The sequence below is a fragment of the Homo sapiens genome, chromosome 10 (genome assembly GCF_000001405.40).
Source record: "Homo sapiens chromosome 10, GRCh38.p14 Primary Assembly".
NCBI lineage: Eukaryota > Metazoa > Chordata > Mammalia > Primates > Hominidae > Homo > Homo sapiens.
The window spans coordinates 84,173,708-84,194,337 of NC_000010.11; the positions used below are offsets into that span (position 1 = coordinate 84,173,708).

At 49.3% G+C, this 20,630-nt stretch overlaps 1 protein-coding gene across 2 annotated transcripts, besides 2 other annotated features; it reads left to right on the plus strand.

Annotated features, from left to right (window-relative positions):
* The first annotated feature begins 93 nt into the window (after nt 1-93).
* Nucleotides 94-11,587, plus strand: GPR15LG (G protein-coupled receptor 15 ligand). Of its 2 annotated transcripts, none has more exons than NM_207373.3 (3): nt 94-214; nt 2,773-2,862; nt 10,974-11,587. In NM_207373.3, the coding sequence occupies exons 1-3, from the start codon at nt 145-147 to the stop codon at nt 11,057-11,059; spliced, it is 246 nt and encodes an 81-aa protein (NP_997256.1). In that variant the 5' UTR covers nt 94-144; the 3' UTR covers nt 11,060-11,587. The 2 variants fall into 2 exon arrangements, with proteins under 2 accessions (NP_997256.1, XP_005269868.1); XM_005269811.4 differs by having other exon boundaries at nt 11,144-11,577.
* Nucleotides 3,120-3,621: an enhancer, noted in NCBI's record as "H3K4me1 hESC enhancer chr10:85936583-85937084 (GRCh37/hg19 assembly coordinates)". NCBI's record gives its function as "activates a minimal SCP1, AML or CMV promoter by ChIP-STARR-seq in naive H9 embryonic stem cells {active_cell/tissue: H9 hESC(naive)}" and the evidence as "EXISTENCE:reporter gene assay evidence [ECO:0000049][PMID:30033119]".
* Nucleotides 6,120-6,940: an enhancer, noted in NCBI's record as "NANOG-H3K27ac-H3K4me1 hESC enhancer chr10:85939583-85940403 (GRCh37/hg19 assembly coordinates)". NCBI's record gives its function as "activates a minimal SCP1, AML or CMV promoter by ChIP-STARR-seq in naive H9 embryonic stem cells {active_cell/tissue: H9 hESC(naive)}" and the evidence as "EXISTENCE:reporter gene assay evidence [ECO:0000049][PMID:30033119]".

The window sequence follows — 20,630 nt, forward strand, 5'->3', positions numbered from 1 at the left end:
CCCTTTAGGAGAATTGCAAGGCTACTAGGGCTCTGCCCATTGGGAAACACCTCTCTATGACTCTATAAATGTCCAAGGTGGCCCCAAGGGAGGACTTCTGCAGCACAGCTCCCTTCCCAGGACGTGAAAATCTGCCTTCTCACCATGAGGCTTCTAGTCCTTTCCAGCCTGCTCTGTATCCTGCTTCTCTGCTTCTCCATCTTCTCCACAGAAGGTAGGGCAGCCCCCAGGGTGCAGATCCCTGAGCAGGATTTCAGCATCTGGGAAGACTCTGATCAGGATTTGTTGGAGGGCAGGCCTTGGCGGGCAGGCCTTGGCAGGCAGTCCTGAGCCCCGGAAAGATGGGCTCTTTCTCCTGAACCTATAGGTTTGGGGCTCAGGACTGCCTGCAGGTGGCTTGGGGGTTCCATTCACAGCCCCTGCACCCCCAAATACATACCCAGCCTAAGTAAAGTGGTGTGTTCGCCATGCAAACACACATACAACCTCTCAGCTAGATTACTGTGCTTAAGTCCTACCTATCTAGAATTTCTGGAGCCATTCTCTTGTACTTGTGTCATGCTTGGAACAGAGTAAATTAGTGTTGGGCAAATGAATACATTAATTAGTAGACCATCTAAGTCTGAACATCCCAAAACCTCATGCCCAGAAAATATCCATGAGCAGCTGAAATGAAGGTGTGTGTGGTAGGGAGGTGGGGTATGTTTATGCATGTTTAGAAGGGGACACCATCTTTTTACCTCTATAGATATGAATATTTAGCTCTCTTGCCCTTTTTTCTTTTTTCTTTTTTTTTTTTTTTTTGAGATGGAGTCTTGCTCTGTCACCCAGGCTGGAGTGCAGTGGCGCTATCTCAGCTCACTGCAATCTCCGCCTCCTGGGTTCAAGCAATTCTCTGCCTCAGCCTCCCAAGTAGCTGAGATTACAGGTGCCCACCACCAAGCCCAGCTAATTTTTGTATTTTTAGTACAGACAGGTTTCACCATCTTGGCCAGGCTGGTCTTGAACTCCTAACCTCGTAATCCTCCCACCTCGGCCTCCCAAAGTGCTGGGATTACAGGCGTGAGCCACCATGCCTGGCTGCCTTTCTTGATTCAGATAGCTGAGTGTTTCAATCCATTTTTCTCTTGTCTAACCCTCTAGAAACTGCCTACATTTATTTTTTGTTTTAGTGGTTATGGTTACTCAAACTTTTGGGTGGGGGGAGCTGGAGCTATAGAAATATATAAAGAGAAGAAAAACACTCAATTCCATGATTCAAGAGTAGCCATGTTCAACATTTTGTTTATTTCCTTGCATGTAGAATTTTTAAAAATTAATTGATGTACCTATATGTTCAAGGTTATATCTTTTTTATTTATCACTATATATATTGTTATAATCACCCAAAATGCTTATGATTGAAGATATTCTGGAAGCATTTACAACCCAGTGTCAGCAGCAGCCATCTCTGAGTAGTGGGATTATAACAAGTGTTTGTTTTACAAAGTTTCTGCGATGAAAATGTGCCACATATATAATAAGGAAAACAGTGATTAGAATTCCTCATAAACACAGCCCGTGACATGCAATTTATCAGACCTCTATTTTTGGACATGTTGGAGGTTGCCAGTGATACCCTAGTGACAATTAAATGAGGATAGATACCTTCCCCCATAAAGTTTCCTATCCATTTAGGACTATCTGTAGCAAACTCTTGAAGTAGCATTAATCAACTAATATTTTCAGGTATAACTTGCTACAAGTGAACGTACTATGATGAATTTACATGCTTAGACATTTAGATAGTTCACAATTGTGTGCTTTTCCTTTTTTGAAGCAAGATCTTGCTCTCTTGCCCAGGTCGGAGTGCAGTGGCATGACCACGGCTCAGTGCAGGCTTGACTTCCAGGGCTCAAGCAATACTCGCACCTCAGGTTTTCCAGTAGCTGGGAAAACAGGTGCGCACCACAATGCCCTGCTAATTTTTAAAATTTTTTGCAGAGACGAGGTCTCTCTAAGTTGCCCAGGCTGGTCTTGAACTTCTGGACTCAAGCCATCCTCCCACCTTGGCCTCCCAGAGTGCTAGGATCACAGGCATGAGCCACCACACCTGGCCTACTTTGCACATTTTAATTATGTGGTAAAAGGTATATATGTACATAAAGTATGTCCTTTATTCAGGCTTTTTTTCTTTTTTTCTTTTTTTTATTTTTTTGAGACGAAGTTTTTGCTCTTGTTGTCCAGGCTGGAGTGTAATGGCATGCTCTTGGCTCACCACAACCTCCGCCTCCCGGGTTCAAGTGATTCTCCTGCCTCAACCTCCTGAGTAGCTGGGATTACAGGCATGCACCAACATGCCAGGCTGATTTTGTATTTTTAGTAGAGATGGGGTTTCTCCATGTTGGTCAGGCTGGTCTCGAACACTCGACCTCAAGTGATCCGCCCACCTCAGCCTCCCAAAGAGCTAGGATTACAGGCATGAGCCACCACACCCAGCTCAGGCTTATTTTCTTAGGCTAGATTGCCAAGGGGAGAATTATTATGTCAAAGAAACTACTTATTGGACAGGAATCTGAAAAGGATGTGTTTTGGGGCCATGTGTCTCCCAACATTGTTATTTCTGAAAAGTAAATCACAACAAGGCCCACTCTTTCCCTAGGACCTCTCGTAGCCTGGCTCATCCTGAGTTTCTCTGGATAAATATTCCTGAGCCCTGTGCCTTGGAAGGGGAAGCTCACTCACAGACAAGCCCACTAAAGACAGTCTCTCTTCCTTTGTGTCCACCCTCAGGGAAGAGGCGTCCTGCCAAGGCCTGGTCAGGCAGGAGAACCAGGCTCTGCTGCCACCGAGTCCCTAGCCCCAACTCAACAAACCTGAAAGGTAAGTACCCCCACCTCGTCCAGACTGTGGGGCAGAAGTTCTACAGTGGCCATGGGACCAGCCACACACACTGATCAGCCCCCACCCATGGCTGGCATCAGGCTCTGGCTGGGAGGACATCTTTGTTTTGTTGATTAATTTGTTGACTCCCCCCCAAAAGTCAACAAATTAATCATTTTAAACTGAATACATTCTGCCATGGAAAAAAAGCAGGATGCAATTAGAAGATGTTGTGTGGAAACACACTTACTTTAGGTGGGAGGTGTCTGAGGAGGTGACATTTATGAGACCTGGCTCATTTATGAGCCAGGAGCCTGGCTGAGGACTGTGGAGGTGGGGGATGCAGGCAGAGGAGGCAGCAAGGGTGAAGGGCAAGAGTGGGGTATGGAAGACAGATGGTAGCAGGGCTTGAGAGGTACTCCCAGAAGCTAAGGACCAAAGCTGCCTGTGAACCCTGTGGACCTGGGGCACAGATCAGCATGCAGGTCACCAGCAGGGGAGTGGGCCTGAGGGTCCAGAGAGCCATAGCTTGGCAGGAGATAAGGCAGCCCCAGAGATGCCAGCAGGCAGCATCCAGGCTGCATGACCAGAACGAGGCCCAGAAGAGCAAGGCTGCCCTCTCCCTGAGGCCTGGGGACACTGGGAGGCCTGTGGCGGACAGGCCCAAGCTCAGGAGGGCTGCGGGCACCCAGTTCCCTGCACAGGGGCTGCAGGCCCAGAGCAGATATTCACTGGAGTTGCCCAGCCCAGGTGGAAGGGTCAGGCTGCTGGAGCTTGGGTAGGGCAGGCAGATCCCCAAGGGGAGACTGTGGACCCTGAGTCAGACAGCCTGACACCAACCTGGGGCTCCTGCCTGAACTCTGCAGCCCCAGTGCCCACTCTCAAGAGGCTGAGGAGGTCCCGGCCCCACTTGCTCCTCTGCGGCCATGGCCCATGGGGTCCATGACCAGCGCCGGAGCCTCCATGCCTTTCCCAGCTACCAAGGGGATGCTCAGCTGTGATGCAGGAGAGGGATAGAGGGAGGAAGCAAGACAGCATGACTCCAGCCGCAGACCTTCTCCCGGAGATGCTGACAGCCCTTTCTTCCAAACTGGCATCACACCCAGCCGGCCAGGATAAAAATAACCAGCTCTCACACACCTCTTGCTGAACCAGTGTGAGGTGCCAGCCCAGGCAGGATGCAGGGTGAGCGCAGGCTGTGGCTCTGCTCCCCCAGGCCCCTGGTTCTGTGAAAGAAGGTGAAAACCTTCCAGAGAGAGGTGGAGGCGAGCCCCAAGAGCTCACACCCTCCCCCTCCACTTCCCCTCTCCTGCACCAACTGCTCAGAGGCAGGAAGTTGAGGGGGTGTGTGAGCCCCCACCACAGACACACACACAACAAACCAAAACACATAAACACAAATACCTACACACATAAGTAGATACACACCACACAACCACACACACAGACACACACAAATACATGCGCACACAGACTCACACCACACACTACAGACACACAGACACATACACGCTACACAACTACACACAGAAACACAGCATATACACACAACACACGGTATAGTGATACACACCTAGACACATATACACAGCACAAACACACACCACACAACTACACACACAGACACATACTACATGCACTCTACACACACACACCACGCACTATACATACAAACACACGGACACATACACACTACACAACTACACAAACAGACACACACTATACACACAAACACACTACATGCACATACACACTACACACAATCATACACACATAGACACATGCACACAGCACACACACGTATACCAGACACAGACACATACACAAGTACATCTACACACAAACACATACCACACAACTATACACACAAACACACATAAATACATACACACAAATACACAACACTACACAACTATACACACAGACACACACACAAATACATGCACACACAGACACACACCACAATACACTCACAGACACTACACATGGACAAGCAATTACACACACACACTACACAACTACACACACTACACTCCTATGCTACACACAGCACACACACACTACACACACAGATGGACAGATATACACCCAAGCACACACAGTGCATAGGAGACGTGGCCATGTTAACTCCCGTGCAAGTACACGTGCATCCGTTTTTTCAGTTTTGTTACTTCTGGAGAATAAATCTAGGTGTGTGGCTTCTGTGCTGAGACTGGATTTCTTTCTGTGTGTATATTTTTAAAATTCCATTGTTGAAATTTATGAACAACTTAGAACAAGAAGAGCAAAACAAACATATGTATTGGGTCCTTGCCATGTGATCTCATTTAAATCCTTGAGACCACCGTGGGGAGGTCTCGTCACCATTATATAGATTGGGAAACTGAGACTGAGAAAGAAACTGAGGCAGAGTCAGAAACTAGGATCTTTCCACCTCTTTCCACTACAACAAACTGCTTCCCCTGTGGACAGAAAGTGTTCTGTAGCCGGTGTATGAAGACATGCGCGTGCAAGCCAGACGGCTGACTTCCCAGAAGGAAATAGCCATCTGGGCTGGGATCTCAGCTCCACCACCCACTGGCTGTGCCTTGGAGCAAGTCACCCAGCACTGCTAAGCCTCAGTCTCCCCCTCTGTGAAGAGGGAGTTATAATAGAATCTGCCTCACTGGACCATGATGAGCCGTCGATGGGTTCATGTCTATACAGGACTTGGCATCAAGCCTGCCACATGGTGCCCCGTAAACATGTCCTGCTGTTGCTATGGAGACAGACCCAGCCCTGCCAGGGCTGCTGGCACAGGAGATGAGCAACTCCAACACCGACAACCAAAGCCTGCACGTTCTTGTCCAGGCTTGGTGGTTCCACCTTCTGTCTTATGGACTGATGCTGGGATTCAGCAAGGAGGGAGATGAATCAGTGTTCCCAGGGTGTTGTGTAAGCAACGCCAGGATTGCTGAGTGTGCCAGGCTCCAGAAATCTGGCCTCGTGTGCTCCAGTTCACTGATGTATGACAAAGCCCGTGCATCTGTCTGTAGAAATGCAAATTAACTCAGAGTTGCCTAGAGGGTGTTCCTGAGCCAACAACACCAGCTATGACACACACTTGCTGAATACTGACTACTCCTCGTTCTATGGTGTCTTTCTTGAGTACTGCTTTATATCTCAGCACTGTGGTAGGCCCATGGGGATGACAATATGTGGAAGGCCCAGGACTCTGGGTCAATGGGACAAAAACATCTTCAAAAATCAACATGCTAAATGGCTGATTTGCTGAATTTATTACATTTACCAATTTGCTTTAAAAAGGCTTTTTTTTTTTTTTTAGTATTTATTGATCATTCTTGGGTGTTTCTTGGAGAGGGGGATTTGGCAGGGTCATAGGACAATAGTGGAGGGAAGGTCAGCAGATAAACATGTGAACAAAGGTCTCTGGTTTTCCTAGGCAGAGGGCCTTGCCACCTTCCGCAGTGTTTGTGTCCCTGGGTACTTGAGATTAGGGAGTGGTGATGACTCTTAACGAGTATGCTGCCTTCAAGCATCTGTTTAACAAAGCACATCTTGCACCGCCCTTAATCCATTTAACCCTTAGTGGACACAGCACATGTTTCAGAGAGCACAGGGTTGGGGGTAAGGTTATAGATTAACAGCATCCCAAGGCAGAAGAATTTTTCCTAGTACAGAACAAAATGGAGTCTCCTATGTCTACTTCTTTCTACACAGACACAATAACAATCTGATCTCTCTTTCTTTTCCCCACATTTCCCCCTTTCCTATTAGACAAAACCGCCATTGTCATCATGGCCTGTTCTCAATGAGCTGTTGGGTACACCTCCCAGACGGGGTGGCGGCCGGGCAGAGGGGCTCCTCAGTTCCCAGACGGGGTCGCGGCCGGGCAGAGGCGCTCTTCACAACTCAGATGGGGCGGTGGGGCAGAGGCGCTCCCCACATCCCAGATGATGGGTGGCTGGGCAGAGACGCTCCTCACTTCCTAGACGGGATGACGGCCGGGAAGAGGCACTCCTCACTTCCCAGACTGGGCAGCCGGGCAGAGGGGCTCCTCACATCCCAGACGATGGGTGGCCAGGCAGAGACGTTCCTCACTTCCTAGACGGGGTGGCGGCCGGGCAGAGGCTGCAATCTCAGCACTTTGGGAGGCCAAGGCAGGCGGCTGGGAGGTGGAGGTTGTAGCGAGCTGAGATCATGCCACTGCACTCCAGCCTGGGCAACATTGAGCACTGAGTGAACGAGACTCCGTCTGCAATCCCGGCACCTCGGGAGGCCGAGGCTGGCAGATCACTCGTGGTCAGGAGTTGGAGACAAGCCCGGCCAACATGGCGAAACCCCGTCTCCACCAAAAAATACGAAAACCAGTCAGGTGTGGCAGCACGCGCCTGCAATCCCAGGCACTTGGCAGGCTGAGGCAGGAGAATCAGGCAGGGAGGTTGCAGTGAGCCAAGACGGCGGCAGTACAGTCCAGCCTTGGCTCAGCATCAGAGGGAGACCGTGCAAAGAGGAGGGAGAGGGAGAGGCCTGGGCTCAGCATCAGAGGGAGACCGTGCAAAGAGGAGGGAGAGGGAGAGGGCTGGGCTCAGCATCAGAGGGAGACCGTGCAAAGAGGAGGGAGAGGGAGAGGGAGAGGGAGAGGGAGAAGGGCTTTTTTAAAAAATTAAATTTTTTTTTTTTTTTTTAAGTAGAGGCAGGGTTTCACCATGTTGACCTGACTGGTCTCTATCTATTGACCTCGTGATCCACCCACCTCAGCCTCCCAAAGTGCTGGGATTACAGGCGTGAGCCACCATGCCCAGCCTAAAAGAGTATTTAGAAAATTTATAGCAATCTGTATAGCAGCAAGTCTTTTTGTTGTTGTTTTTTAAGAAACAGGATCTTGCTCAGTCACCCAGGCTGGAGTGCAGTGGCACAATCATAGCTCACTGCAGCCTCAAACTCCTGGGCTCAAGTGATCCGCTTCAGCCTCCCCAGTAGCTGGGACTACAGATGCGTGCCATCACACTCAGCTAACTTTTCTATTTTTGCAAAGACAGCGTCTTACTATGATGCCCAGGCTGGTCTTGAACTCCTGGCCTCAAGCAACCCTCCTGCCTTGGCCTCCCAAAGTGCTAAAGCGCTGGGATTACAGGCGTGAGCCACTGCATCTGGCCCAGTTCTTTTAAAGGAAGTTTCAATGTGCTGACTCTATTGGCTCTTTACGGGTGTCAAGCACTATCCCCAAGCCCAGGGGCTGCCCAGGCTTAAGCTGGGGTCAGACTGATGGCTGTGAAGGCCCCACCAGCCAGGAAGTACTGTGGTCCTGAAGCTTCATTCAGGCCACCTTCTTTCTACGCATCCTGGGGCCACGGTGAAGCTATTTGGGAAGACTGGGGAGGTCCTGTGGGAAGTCTGGAGCCTGAGAGGCTGCCCAGGTCCTGAGAGCTCCTTGCCCCCTCACTGTTTTTGAAACCCAGCAAAATGGCTGAGCCCATAGTGGGAGACTCAGGCTGGAAGGGGCACAGAGAGATTCCTCCCTCGCCATAGGGTTGTCTCTGCCTTCAGGAAGGAGCTCGGACTGCATGAACAAATGTTACCCGTTGAGGATATGAGGTTTTCAGCAACGATGATACCAGGATGGACATGAGGGCCCAGAAAATAGACCCTGGAAAGGAGGAGGTGAAGAGGGCTGGCAGCCCATCCTTCCCAGTGGCTCAGTGAAAGGGGCCTCAGACCCATGGTCTTGCTCCTTGTGATTATATCTGTTAGCCATAGCTGCAGAACAACCCACTCCCAATTTTAGTGACCCAAAGCAGTGTTTATTCTTTTCAATGAGTCTACAGGTCAGCTGGATATTTCTTCTAGTCTTGGCTGGACTCATTCTTCTAAGATTTGGATAGGCAGTTCTGCTGATCTTGGCTGGGGTCTCTCATATTTTTGATGTCTGTGAGTCTAGAATGGTCTCGGTTGGAACAACTAGCCTCTCCTCCATGTGGTCTTTCATGCTCTTCGCAGGCGAGCCCAGACTGTTCACGTGGTGTCTGCAGAGTTCCACTTATGTAAATGGAAACACGTAAGGCCTCTTGAGGTACAGGCTCTGAGCTTCCCTCCTTCATCTCTACCACATTCATTCTGGACAAAACAAGTTGCAAGTCCAGTCCAGATTTTAGGAGCAGGCAAATAGACTCCCTATCATGATGGGAGAAACTGCAAAGGAGAGAGGGAGAATTGCAACCATATTTGCAACCAGTCAACCACAAAATTTATTGTAGGAGCCAGAGAAGATAGTCTTGGGATCTGAGGTGAGGAAAGGAGGTGGAGGAGGATCAGGGGTCAGGAAATCATGTGTCTCCACCAGAAATGCTGGTGGAAAATGCTCATGAAATGGTAAGTTATGGAATGGAAAAGAGTAAGTTACGCTATATATTACTAGGATTATCACTATGGGAAGATCAAAGCACTTACCAATAGAAAAAAAAAAACAGAAAAACACACCAATATTATCACTTATTTGTGGTTAAGACATGAGTGGATGGATGAATTATAATTAAATTTATTTCTTTGTATAGCTAGTGCTTATATAGCAATTACTAGGTGTGGGTGGCACTTACATCTGCTAACTCATTTGATCCTTACAATAATCCTAAAAGTTAGATACTATTACTATTCTCACTTCTACAAATGAGGCACCAAGCACAGAAAGGTTAAGTAACTTGTTGAAGGTCCCACAGCTACTAAGTAAGTGATAGATTCAGGCTTTGAATTTAAATAATCTGGCTCACTCCAGATTTCATGATCTTAATTACCACACCACATTTCATATAGTAATAATCTGAAAACAGAAGGAGAAAGAATAATCTCATGACCATAACTTAGTAACCCTTCTCATTCATTTGTGTGTCCTTTGTTTTTCGTACAAACGTGTTTACCTGGTTTTATTTTTAATTAATTATATCTCATTTTTTAATTTTTAAACTTAAGTCGGAATCATTTTTCTTCTTGTTGCTGTGCAGTGTTCATAACCACAGGGTTTTGTCCCCATGAAACATTTCCATCATCATGAATTATCATTAATTTTTTATTTTATTGTTTATTATTTATTTTTTTTTTGAGACAAGGTTTCACTTTGTCACCCAGGCTGGAGTGCGGTGGCTCAATTATGGCTCACCACAGCCTCACCTCCCAGGCTCAGGTGATCCTCCCACCTCAGCCTCCTGAGTAGCTAGGACCACAGGCGTGCGCCACCATGCCTGGCAAATTTTTGTATTTTTGGTAGAGACGGCATTTCATCATGTTGCGCAGGCTGTTCTTGAACCCCTGGGCTTAAGTGATCCACCAGTTTTAGCCTCCCAAACCGCTAGGATTACAGGTGTGAGCCACTACACCTGGCCAAATTATCATTACTAATTAACAATTTCTCTATTATAGGATATTCAGATTGTTTCCAGACACTTTTTTTTCTGCAATTAAAAACAAAACTATGGGCCAGGCATGGTGGCTCATGCCTGTAATCCCAGTACTTTGGGAGGCTGAGGCAGGAGGATAGCTTGAGGCCAGGAGTTCGTGACTAGCCTAGGCGACATAAGGAGACTCCCATCTTTCTTGAAAAAAAAAAAAAAAAACTATAAAAATAGTTTAATGCATGCAGCTTTTTCTTTCTTGTGGATGATTCCTCCCATAAATGGGACTGGTTTGTCAAAAGATGCAAATGTAGTTTTGGGACACGTTGCCTGGCATGTGCCATCTGGAAGGAGACAGCCAGAGGGCCCAAGGGCACACATCCATGTGCAGACCCTCCTACCAGAGTCATTAGAAACAGGCCTCCCAGACCTAAGGCAGCTTAGGTGGGCTCCACTTAGGATCAGCCACCTTCTCTTCCTCTTCTACCAATCAATTAGGTTCCCTCTGATGGGACTGAAATAATCTGGGCTGGTCTTGTTTGCCACGAAAAGCCCCTTCTGGGCCTCCAGGGAAAAGCATAAGATCTAATTCTTGCTTTGAAATTTTTTTTTAAATGTGTTTGAAAATGCAACTTAATTGTGTTTTCCTCTCTCTCCCCACAACCTGGCTCTGACCTCGCCATCTTCCTGTCCTTGTCCCTCTTGTCTACTCATTGCTCCTCCCAGGACATCATGTGAGGCTCTGTAAACCATGCAAGCTTGAGCCAGAGCCCCGCCTTTGGGTGGTGCCTGGGGCACTCCCACAGGTGTAGCACTCCCAAAGCAAGACTCCAGACAGCGGAGAACCTCATGCCTGGCACCTGAGGTACCCAGCAGCCTCCTGTCTCCCCTTTCAGCCTTCACAGCAGTGAGCTGCAATGTTGGAGGGCTTCATCTCGGGCTGCAAGGACCCTGGGAAAGTTCCAGAACTCCACGTCCTTGTCTCAATTGTGCCATCAACTTTCAGAGCTATCATGAGCCAACCTCACCCCACAGGGCCTCAGTCGCCACCATGTGGGCCTCTCCAGTGCAAACCACCGAGCATTCCACCATGACCGGTCACAGCTACAAATCCAGAGACCATCAATCCTGCTAGAGTGCAGGGTGGCAAGCACCCAAGGGTGGCTGACCAAGACTGCAGAGTCTCCTCCATCTTCAGGTCCATTCAGCCTCCTGGCATTTAACTACCAGCATCCAGTGGTCCCCAAGGAATCCCTTCCTAGCCTCCTGACATGAGTCTGCTGGAAAGAGCATCCAAACAAACAAGTAATAAATAAATAAATAAACTCAATGCAGACACATCCTTGTTTGACAAGGTCAGTGATAGAGCCTGAGGCATAACTTTCTGCTAGAAGAAACCTGTCCCTAAAGCCTTCCCTGCAGGCCACTCTTTGTCACAACACTATGTAACTGTGTGAGGAGCAGGGACAGAGGCCCTGGGTCCGGCACAACAGGGCTCGAAGCCCTGCCCTGCTAAGGGTGTTCTGTGTGAGCTGGGCATGTTGGGTCTCTTCTAGAAAACTGAGATTACAGGACCTACTCAGAGGGCAAATAGCCAGGTGTGAAGTGCCCACAAAGGGCCTGGCACACAGAGGGACTTGGTTCAGGGAAATCCTTGCCTCTCCTTCCCCATCCTGGGGGAGGGTGTTTATGCCCACAGTGAACACAATGCTGCAGGGCTGAGGCTCAGAGGGCACAGATGGCTCAGGTCTGAGCAGCTTATCTCTCAACAAAGCTCCCTTCTAATCCGATTCTCACAGCAAGGTGAGAAGCCCCACCGCTGCACCCTCCACAGCTGCGTAGGAGAACGCCAGGCCCCCTCTGGGCTGATGGGCAGAGATTCCCTGGCCCAGGGCTCTGGGGACAGTGGTGCCCAGGGCTCTGGGGACAGTGGTGCCCAGGGCAAGTCAGAGTCTTTGTCTTGTCACAGGCCAGACTTTTCACATCTCTTCCATATGTTCCACTCCCAGGCTCACTCACTCGCTCACTCACTCGTTCCCAGGCTCTGCAGTGTTCTGTTCACCACGGGCATAAATACCCCTTCCGAGTGGGGCAGGTGAGGCGGGGACTTCCCTGAACCCAGCCCCTCTGTGCGCCAGGCCCTTTGCTGCACTTCACACCTGACTATTTGCCCTCTGAGCAGGTCCTTTAATCTCCATGTTCATCTATCCCGGGGTAGTAATTGTCAGGCCCTGAGCTGCGTTCTGAGGCTCAGAGATGAACAAATATGGTCCCCTGATGTCTGAGAGGCAATCATTTCTCCACAAAGCTGTGGGCACCCAGGTAAGAACAGAGGGCTGGGACTGCAGGAGAAAGAGTGGAAGATGAGGAAGGAATGAAAAGACTGCTCAAACTCAGCAGAAGACACCAGCCAGAGAAGGGGCGCAAGATGTGTGTGTGTGTGTGTGTGTGGTGTGCAGAGGGGTGTGGAGGACATGGGAGGTGGGGGGGGGTTGTGTGGTGTATGTGGTGAATGGTGTGTGTGTACGGTGTGTAATGTGTGTGTGTGCGATGTGTATGTGAGGGTACAGGATTTGTACATGTGTATATGTGAAGTGTGTGTGATGTGTGGTGTGTGTGTGAGGGTATGGACTTTGTGGTGTGTGTGCCATATGTATGTCTGTAGCATGTGTGTAGTTTATACAGTGTGTGTGATGTGTGTTGATGTGTGATGGATGATGGATGTGTGGTTTGTGGTATGTATGGTGTGTGTGTGGCATGTGTGATGTGTGGTGTGCGTGGTGTATGTGTGTAATGTGGTATGTGTTGTGTGTGGTGTGTGTGATATGTGGTGTGTGGTTGTATGTGTGGTGTGTGTGATGTGTATGGTGTGTGGTGTGACTGATGCACTTGTATGGTGTGTGGTTTGTGTGTGTGGTGTGTGTGTGTGCGTAGGGTGTGTGGTGTGTGATGTATGTGTGTGTTGGGGCATGTGGTTTGTGTGTGTGTGGTGTGTGTGTGGTGTGTGTGTGGTGTATGTGTGGTATATGGTGGATGTGTGGTTTGTGGATATTGTTTGTGGTATGTATGATGTGTGTGTGGCATGTGTGATGTGTGGTGTGTGTGGTGTATGTGTGTAATGTGGTGTGTGGTGTGTTGTGTGCAGTGTGTGGTGTGATGTGTGATGTGGTATGTGGTTGTGTGTGTGATGCATTTGTGTGGTGTGTGGTTTGTGTGTGTGGTGTCTGTGTGATTGTGTGTGTGTGTTGGAGTGTGTGGTGAGGGATGTGTGTGTGGTGTGTGTGTGTGTGTGTGTGTGTGTGTGTGTGTGTTGGGGTGAAGTAAGGATGCAGCAAGGGCCAGGCAGGAAGCTTGAGTGTTGAAGGAGAAGTCAGCAACTGGACAGCAGCATCAGGACAAAAGGGAAGCAGAGGGTTCAGCCGGGGCCTATGGAAGGGCCTGGAAAGTCCTCAGTGTTTGGGGTTTATCTTGAGAGCAATGAAGAACCAGAGATTCAGTAAGCAGGAGAGAATGCCATGAGAGAGGGCCATTAAGAGACAGAAGGAAGGGAGCTGAGGCAGGGGTGGCAAGTGCGGCACCAAGGACCAGCGTTGGGGCATTCAGAACAGCAGTGGAGAGGCTTTGGAGATGTGTTAGCTGCGGGGCTAACACGTCCACAGTGGCGGCTCCGTGCTGTGTCAGACCCTCACCAGGAACTCCTTTGGCAAAGTGAATCACCTAGCAGCAATGCAAGAGCTGGCCATTTCTGTGTCCTTCTCCTCTCCCTTGTCTCTTCTCCACCCCAAGCCCCAAAAAAGGTAAAGAAAAAAGCCACACACACAAAAATTAAACATGCGTGCTGGAGAGTCAACCAAAAGGAAGACTCAAAGGCCGTGTGCCCCACTGATAAGCTGACTTGCTTCTGGGAACCATGGAAAGGAAGGGGAGCAAGAGTTCTGGAAGCCTCAGCCTCTGTGAGGGCTGTAAGTGAGGAAGACTAGATATTTAATACACACAAATAAGAGGAAGACACAGCCTGGCCTGTGGGAAAGAAGGAGCACCTTCTCTGAGGGCCAGGATTGCAGGGTCACAGCTGTGAGCCACAGCTGTGAGGACACGAGGCCCTCAAGGGACACCAGCCCCTCAAAACAGCCTAGGTCAAAGATGAGAACATAAAAGGAGCAGAGGACCCTGCACTTGCTCCGCCCTAGCCTGTCCTATCTGTCCTTCTGAGGAGGGAGGGAAAGCCTGTGGCAGGTTCCCAGGCCGACAGAGACGCTCACGCAAAGCTAGAGGTCCGTGGCTCCTTGGGAGCAGGTGCTGCTTCCCTCAGAGATACCAAAAACTTTCCTTCCCACTCTCACTGACCACCTTCAAAACTTGCAACATGCACTTTTAAACTTTCTCAGCAATCACTTGAACCGGGGAGGCAGAGGTTGCAGTGAGCTGAGATCACACCATTGCACTCCAGCCTGGGCGACAGAGCAAGACTCCGTCTCAAAATAAATAAATAACTTTTTCAGCAGTGGAAGAATTTCGCTCTCAAAGGGAGGTTGAGACTAAAGGGAAACTCTTGTGAATAACACTTTTCCAGTTTGGGGAGAAAACCCAAACATCTGGAAGTGACTTTAAAATAATAAAACTGGAATTCTTATGTTGCCCTAATTGAGTCTTGAAGAATCTAGACCAGTTTGCAGGTTACAGTAGCATCAATAGAGGAAGTGTACAGTCTCCGTGGCAACTAAAGGGGTCGATACTCCCTGAAAGGGTGGGACCCCGCTGTAATTGATAGAGCATGAGCTTCAAAATCAGATTTGGGCTCACATGATGGCTCTGTCATACACCCACTTTGTGACATTGGGGAGGTCAGATAACCTCTCAGAACTTCTCCCCATCCATAAAATGAGGCTGAAACTGCCTATCACACCTCCCAGCTCATCTCTGGGCAAATAGCCCGTGGTAAACCACCTTCTGGAGCCCTGCGGGGGCCATACCCTGGCCGGTTAATGCTCACACAGTGACTCCCCTTACAGACTCTGCAGCATTTTTCCTGCTTTGGGAGCATAGGTGTGTCCAGGGCTCAAGTCTGATCTCCCCAGTGGTGGCTGGACCTTGCCCATTTACTAGGAGCCTGGCAACATGTAGGTAGCTCTAGAAGCAATAAGCAGACTCAGGTTATCAACAGCTCCATCTCAGGAAGAGGTCTTTGGCACCCATCTGCTTTTTAACCTCAGTTAAACTACACTGCCCCTCAGGACATGCAAAGTGTCAACCAGAATGGGGGGAGGGTGTCAAATTATAAGATGTCCACTCTGAGAAGTCCCTTTCCACATTAAATGCAAGAATTTCAACTCAATGTTTAAATATGCTGTGCATGTAAACATTTATATATGTGCCATAGTCTCCACCACTCCCTATTGCCTTTCACCCAGCCATTTCACACATTTCCATTTCCTGCCTGGTTCAGCATGGATTTTCAGTGTATACCCTTGGCTTCTCCACTCTGCCAATTTATGGATGGATGGATAAGGAGCATGACAAAGGCCATGACCGGGAACCAAGGCTTATGACATTGTCAGATGCCTCTTCATTCATTCATTCAATATTCCTCTATTTGGCCGGGCGCAGTGGCTCACCCGTTTAATCCCAGCACTTTGGGAGGCTGAGGCAGGCGGATCACCTGAGGTCAGGAGTTCAAGACCAGCCTGGCCAACATGGCAAAACCCAATCTCTACTAAAAATACAAAAAAACTAGCCGGCCATGGTGGCACACAGTTACTCAGGAGGCAGAGGCAGGAGAATCACTTGAACTTGGGAGGCGGAGGTTGCAGTGAGCAGAGATCATGCCACTGCACTCCTGCCTGGGTGCAGAGCCAGACTTCGTCTCAAAACAAACAAACAAACAAACAAACAAAAATATATATATATTCCTCTATTCGTTCAGCCAGTCAATAATTACCCATTGAGGACCTATTTTGTGCCAGACCCTATGCTAATGCTGAAGCAAACTATGAATGAAACTCAGCCTCTTCCCTGGTGCACAGCCTTCTAGGGGAGACACAAAAGCAGACTGCACAAAAGACTTTTTTTTTAGACAAGGTCTCACTGCGCTCACTCTGGAGTGCAGTGGTGCAATCATGGCTCACTGCAGCCTCAACCTCTCAGATTCAAGCAATCCTCTCACCTCAGCCTCCCAAGTAGCTGGGACTACACCTCAGCCTCCCAAGTAGCTGGGACTACAGGTGTATGCCATCACACCCAGCTAATTTTTTTTTTTTTTTTTTTTTTTTTTTTTTTTTTTTTTGTAGAGACAGGTTTTCACGGTGTTTCCCAGGCTGGTCTTAAACTCCTGGGCTCAAGTGATCTGCCCACCTCGGCCTCCTAAAGTGTTGGGATTATAGGCATGAGCCACCGAGTCAGGCCTACTAAAGTCTTTTAAAGGCTCTGTTGAGGTTCCAAATAGGGAGCAGTTCTGCTTGGAGGCAGAGGTATGCTAGGAAAAAGAATCTTCTGGGAAGAAAGAGATCCTTTGATGTGTTCCTCTACTCAGTCTCAGCCATGTGGCAGGCTGAGAAAGCAAAGGAGACTACTGTAGGCAAAGTCAGGGTTAGAGGAGGCTCTGCCCACCCGTATGAATGCCCATACAAGCCAGGAGTCAGAATGAGTGGGCAAAATGGTTACTGGAGCCACTAACCTATTAGATGGGTACAAGGAAACAGGTGGCACCACAGAGTCCCTCAGTTAAAGAGATAGGCAAGGTCTCAGATAGGAAAGGGACCCCATCCTCATGTCAGAGGAAACTGAGATAGCCACTCTACACCTGGCCCGGGCACAGCAAGGGGGCAGGGGAAGCCACATGTCACAGTAGATGGGTATCCAGGCTCCCCAGGCACACTGAGCCCACAGCTGAACTACTAACCTCAGAGCTCACTGAGTGGGGCGGGACTCCCAGTTTCCAGCCAGGGGAGGACATCCTGGCCCAGACCTGCAGAGGAGAGTCTTCAGGACCTTACCTGGACTGGGACAGTACCTGACGGAATTGTATCTAGAGAGGGTATGTCCAGTACACAGTTGATACATCCAAGCCTATTCAGATCCCCTGACCCTATTCTGTCAAGCTCAGTACCAAACTCTGCCTTGGGCCAGGACTTTCCTATCGTGAGCAATCATTTTGTTGAAACTTTGGACAGAGCAGCTCAGGATGCCAACACACCAGGACAGAGGTCAGTCTGTCAAATGGTCTCACCCTCACTGTCTCAGACTGCTGGGGCAGAAGCAGGGCACTAGAAACCTATTGCGACTGTCTACCCGACCTGGCTCCCCCCTCATATTGTCAGGAAATGAGCCTGAATCGCAGGCACATGCTGCTCACCACATCCTCAGTACCAGATGGAGCCTGGAAGTCACCTGGCCCAACTGCTGTCAGTGCAGGTATGCACGTGTGTCTATGCGTGGAGATAAGATGTGAGTGGATTCACACATTGTTGGATATGTGTGTATGTGTGTACAAATGGGACTATAACTCTTGTGTATGTTTGTGAGCAGCTGTGTGAATTTGTGTCTATGCACATGGGCAAGGGACTGTGGGTTGGCACACTCAGGTAGATCAGATAAAGGCAAAGACATGGATGTGCACGTGAGCCTGAGTTGGCATATTGGCAGACTTACAACACATGCATGCCCAGGCTAACAGCTGACACGCCAATTCTCGCTTATCAATAGCTGGAGAAGCTGCCATAAATCCACCAGAAGAAGAGCTGTCAGAAGCTGACTTTAAGATGACACTATGTGGTACTGCACTGCAGGTACCATGGCAAGGAGGTCCCAGGAGACAGGGAGCTCACCACCCTTCAGGGGTGACGGGCATTTGGAAGACAGTGTGACTGGTGTGCCTGAGGCTGCCCAGGCTCTGTAAGTGAGGGTCAGGTCCCATGTCTCATGGCAGATGAGTCCTACTGAGCCTTGACAAGCCAAGACCTTCCATACTGCAAGGTCAAGATCAGGGTCCATGGTGAGAACCACCATAAAGAGCTGCTGTTTTCCCAGGTCCTTAGGTGATTTGAGGACAGGGTTGTATCTAGGGTGACCGCCAAATACCAGGTTACCTTAGGCTTTGCTGGTTTTAGCATTGAAAGTCCTGCATCCCTGGAAACCCCTCAGTCCCAGGCAAATTTGGGCAGCTGGTTACACTAGCAGATCTGAACCTAAAACAGCTGAAGGAAGCAGCAGGAGTTGGAGTGGGGGGTGTGGAGGGTCTTTCTCAGACCCTTCTACATCAGAATAGAAGTCAGATGTAATGGTGCTGCCTGTATTCTCAGCTGCTCAGGAGGCTGAGGCAGGAGAGTCTTTTGATCCCTAGAGTTCAGGGCCAGCCTGGGCAACATAATAACACCCTATCTCTAAAAAGAAAGAAGAAGAAAATACAAAGTAAAATACAAAACTGGGGCTCTGGAAGGAATGTGTGATGTGTGAGTGAGAGGCCTAGAAGCTGAAGCTTCAGTAGATTCAAGATCATCTTCTTCTGCCATGAAAAGGGTTTGAACCAGGCGGGCACAGTGGCTCATGCCTGTAATCCCAGCACTTTGGGAGGCCAAGATGGGTGGATCACCTGAGGTCAGGAGTTCAAGACTAGCCTGGCCAACATGGTGAAACCCCGTCTCTACCAAAAAAAAAAAAAAGAAAAAAAATTTGCTGGGCATGGTGGCGTGCACCTGTAATGCCAATATTTGAAAGGCTGAGGCAGGAGAATCACTTGAACCTAGGAGACAGAGGTTGCAGTGAGCTGAGATCCGCCATTGCACTCCAGCCTGGGTGACCGAGTGAGACTCCAGCTCAAAAAAAAAAAGAGTTTGAACCTTCTTTGGAGCCAACCCAAACTGTATGTGAATCCAAGCTCTGCACCTCAGAGAGAATAAGTCACTTGCTTGGTCGTACACAGCCAATGAGGAAATCTCCCTCCTCTGCAAAGCAGAGAAAATCACATTGGGAGAGCAGTGCAGGTCAAATAAGATAATATGGGCAAATATACATAAGCACACATACAGCACATGGCATGTAGGCTACTCCTTCCCCTTCCCTCTCCAGTGCATGGCTGTTGACTGAGGGAACTGAGGAGAGAGAAATCAACGGCCCTAGATTGGTGAGGAGCAGGGCTAACAGGACCCAGGGAGAGCTGGCTTTTCTCGGCCCACCAAGACATCTACTCCAGGAAACCTTGGCTCTGCCTCTGGCTCCTGGGAAATCCACGGCAAGACTCAGTCTCCACATCCCTATATGGGACTTGCAGAATACTTGCCTTAGCTTTGTCCCAGCACTTTGGGAGGCAGATTCAGAACATCTGTGCAATTTAAAGTGTGTCTTTTCAGCAAAAGAGCCAAGCCTAAGGAGACTCAACAAGGGTTTCGGCCAATTAGGCCTGAAAACTGCTGCACATTCTAAAACCATTGATTCATCTTCCTTCTTCTCTGCAAATCCCTGACCCTTGCTCACAGTAGATCATGTAGGGCTAGACCAAGGGATGGGGGGTGCTCTGTTCCCTCAAAGGCCCCTGGCAGGGGGAGGGGGGGAATGCTGAGTCCTCAGCTGTGGAGACCTCTCCCAGGAGCACACAGAGGAGGGATCTCCTCTATCTGAGAACACATCCACCCAAGGGCATCCTGGGAAGTGGCCTGGCTTGGGCTTGAAGTGACCTGTACCCCCATAAATGGCCCAACCAGGAAAAGGAAAACAGGCTGCATTTCCAAGCACCCTCCAGTGTCAGAGCAGGAGAACGAGGAAGCCCAAGGAGCTTTACCAGCAGCCAAAAAGGTTCCTGGGCTTACCTGTGTCTTCAAGTTATCAGCATCCAGGACCCCAATAGCAGTGCCTTGCTTTGTGTAAATACCCTCTAGGAATGAGATCTCGTGCCTCTCGGGCAGTTCAGATCTATCTTGGCCAGCTCTGTGCAAGTCTGTCCTAAGATGGGGCTTAACTCTGCCTTCAGGCCCTTCACTCTTCCTTGGAAGGTTTGAAGAGTGGGTCAGCTGCCCCTTCATGGTCCCAGACTGGGCACTGACTGGGAATGGGGAGCAGAACTGCCTCTCACCCTGGTGGACACCTGAGGGTCCTCCCTGCTGCCCACCACACAGATCAGACCCTTTGGGAGAGGTGGTCCAGCCTGGGGAACAGGGCAGGAATGGGTTGAGATCACAGAGAGGGGGTCCTGATAACCCCTTACCATCTGCTGCCCATCCATCACCCTTTCTCTTTGCCTTTGGTCTCACGCGGCTTATAGAACCTGCTTAGACTGCTAAGGCAAGGCCCTCTCGGCCGCTCCACTAACTTTTCTTCTGGAATGCTTAGCTCAGAGAAGACAGCTAAGCCCCTGAAAGTCACAGAGGAAGTTGATGAGAAAAGAAAACTGCG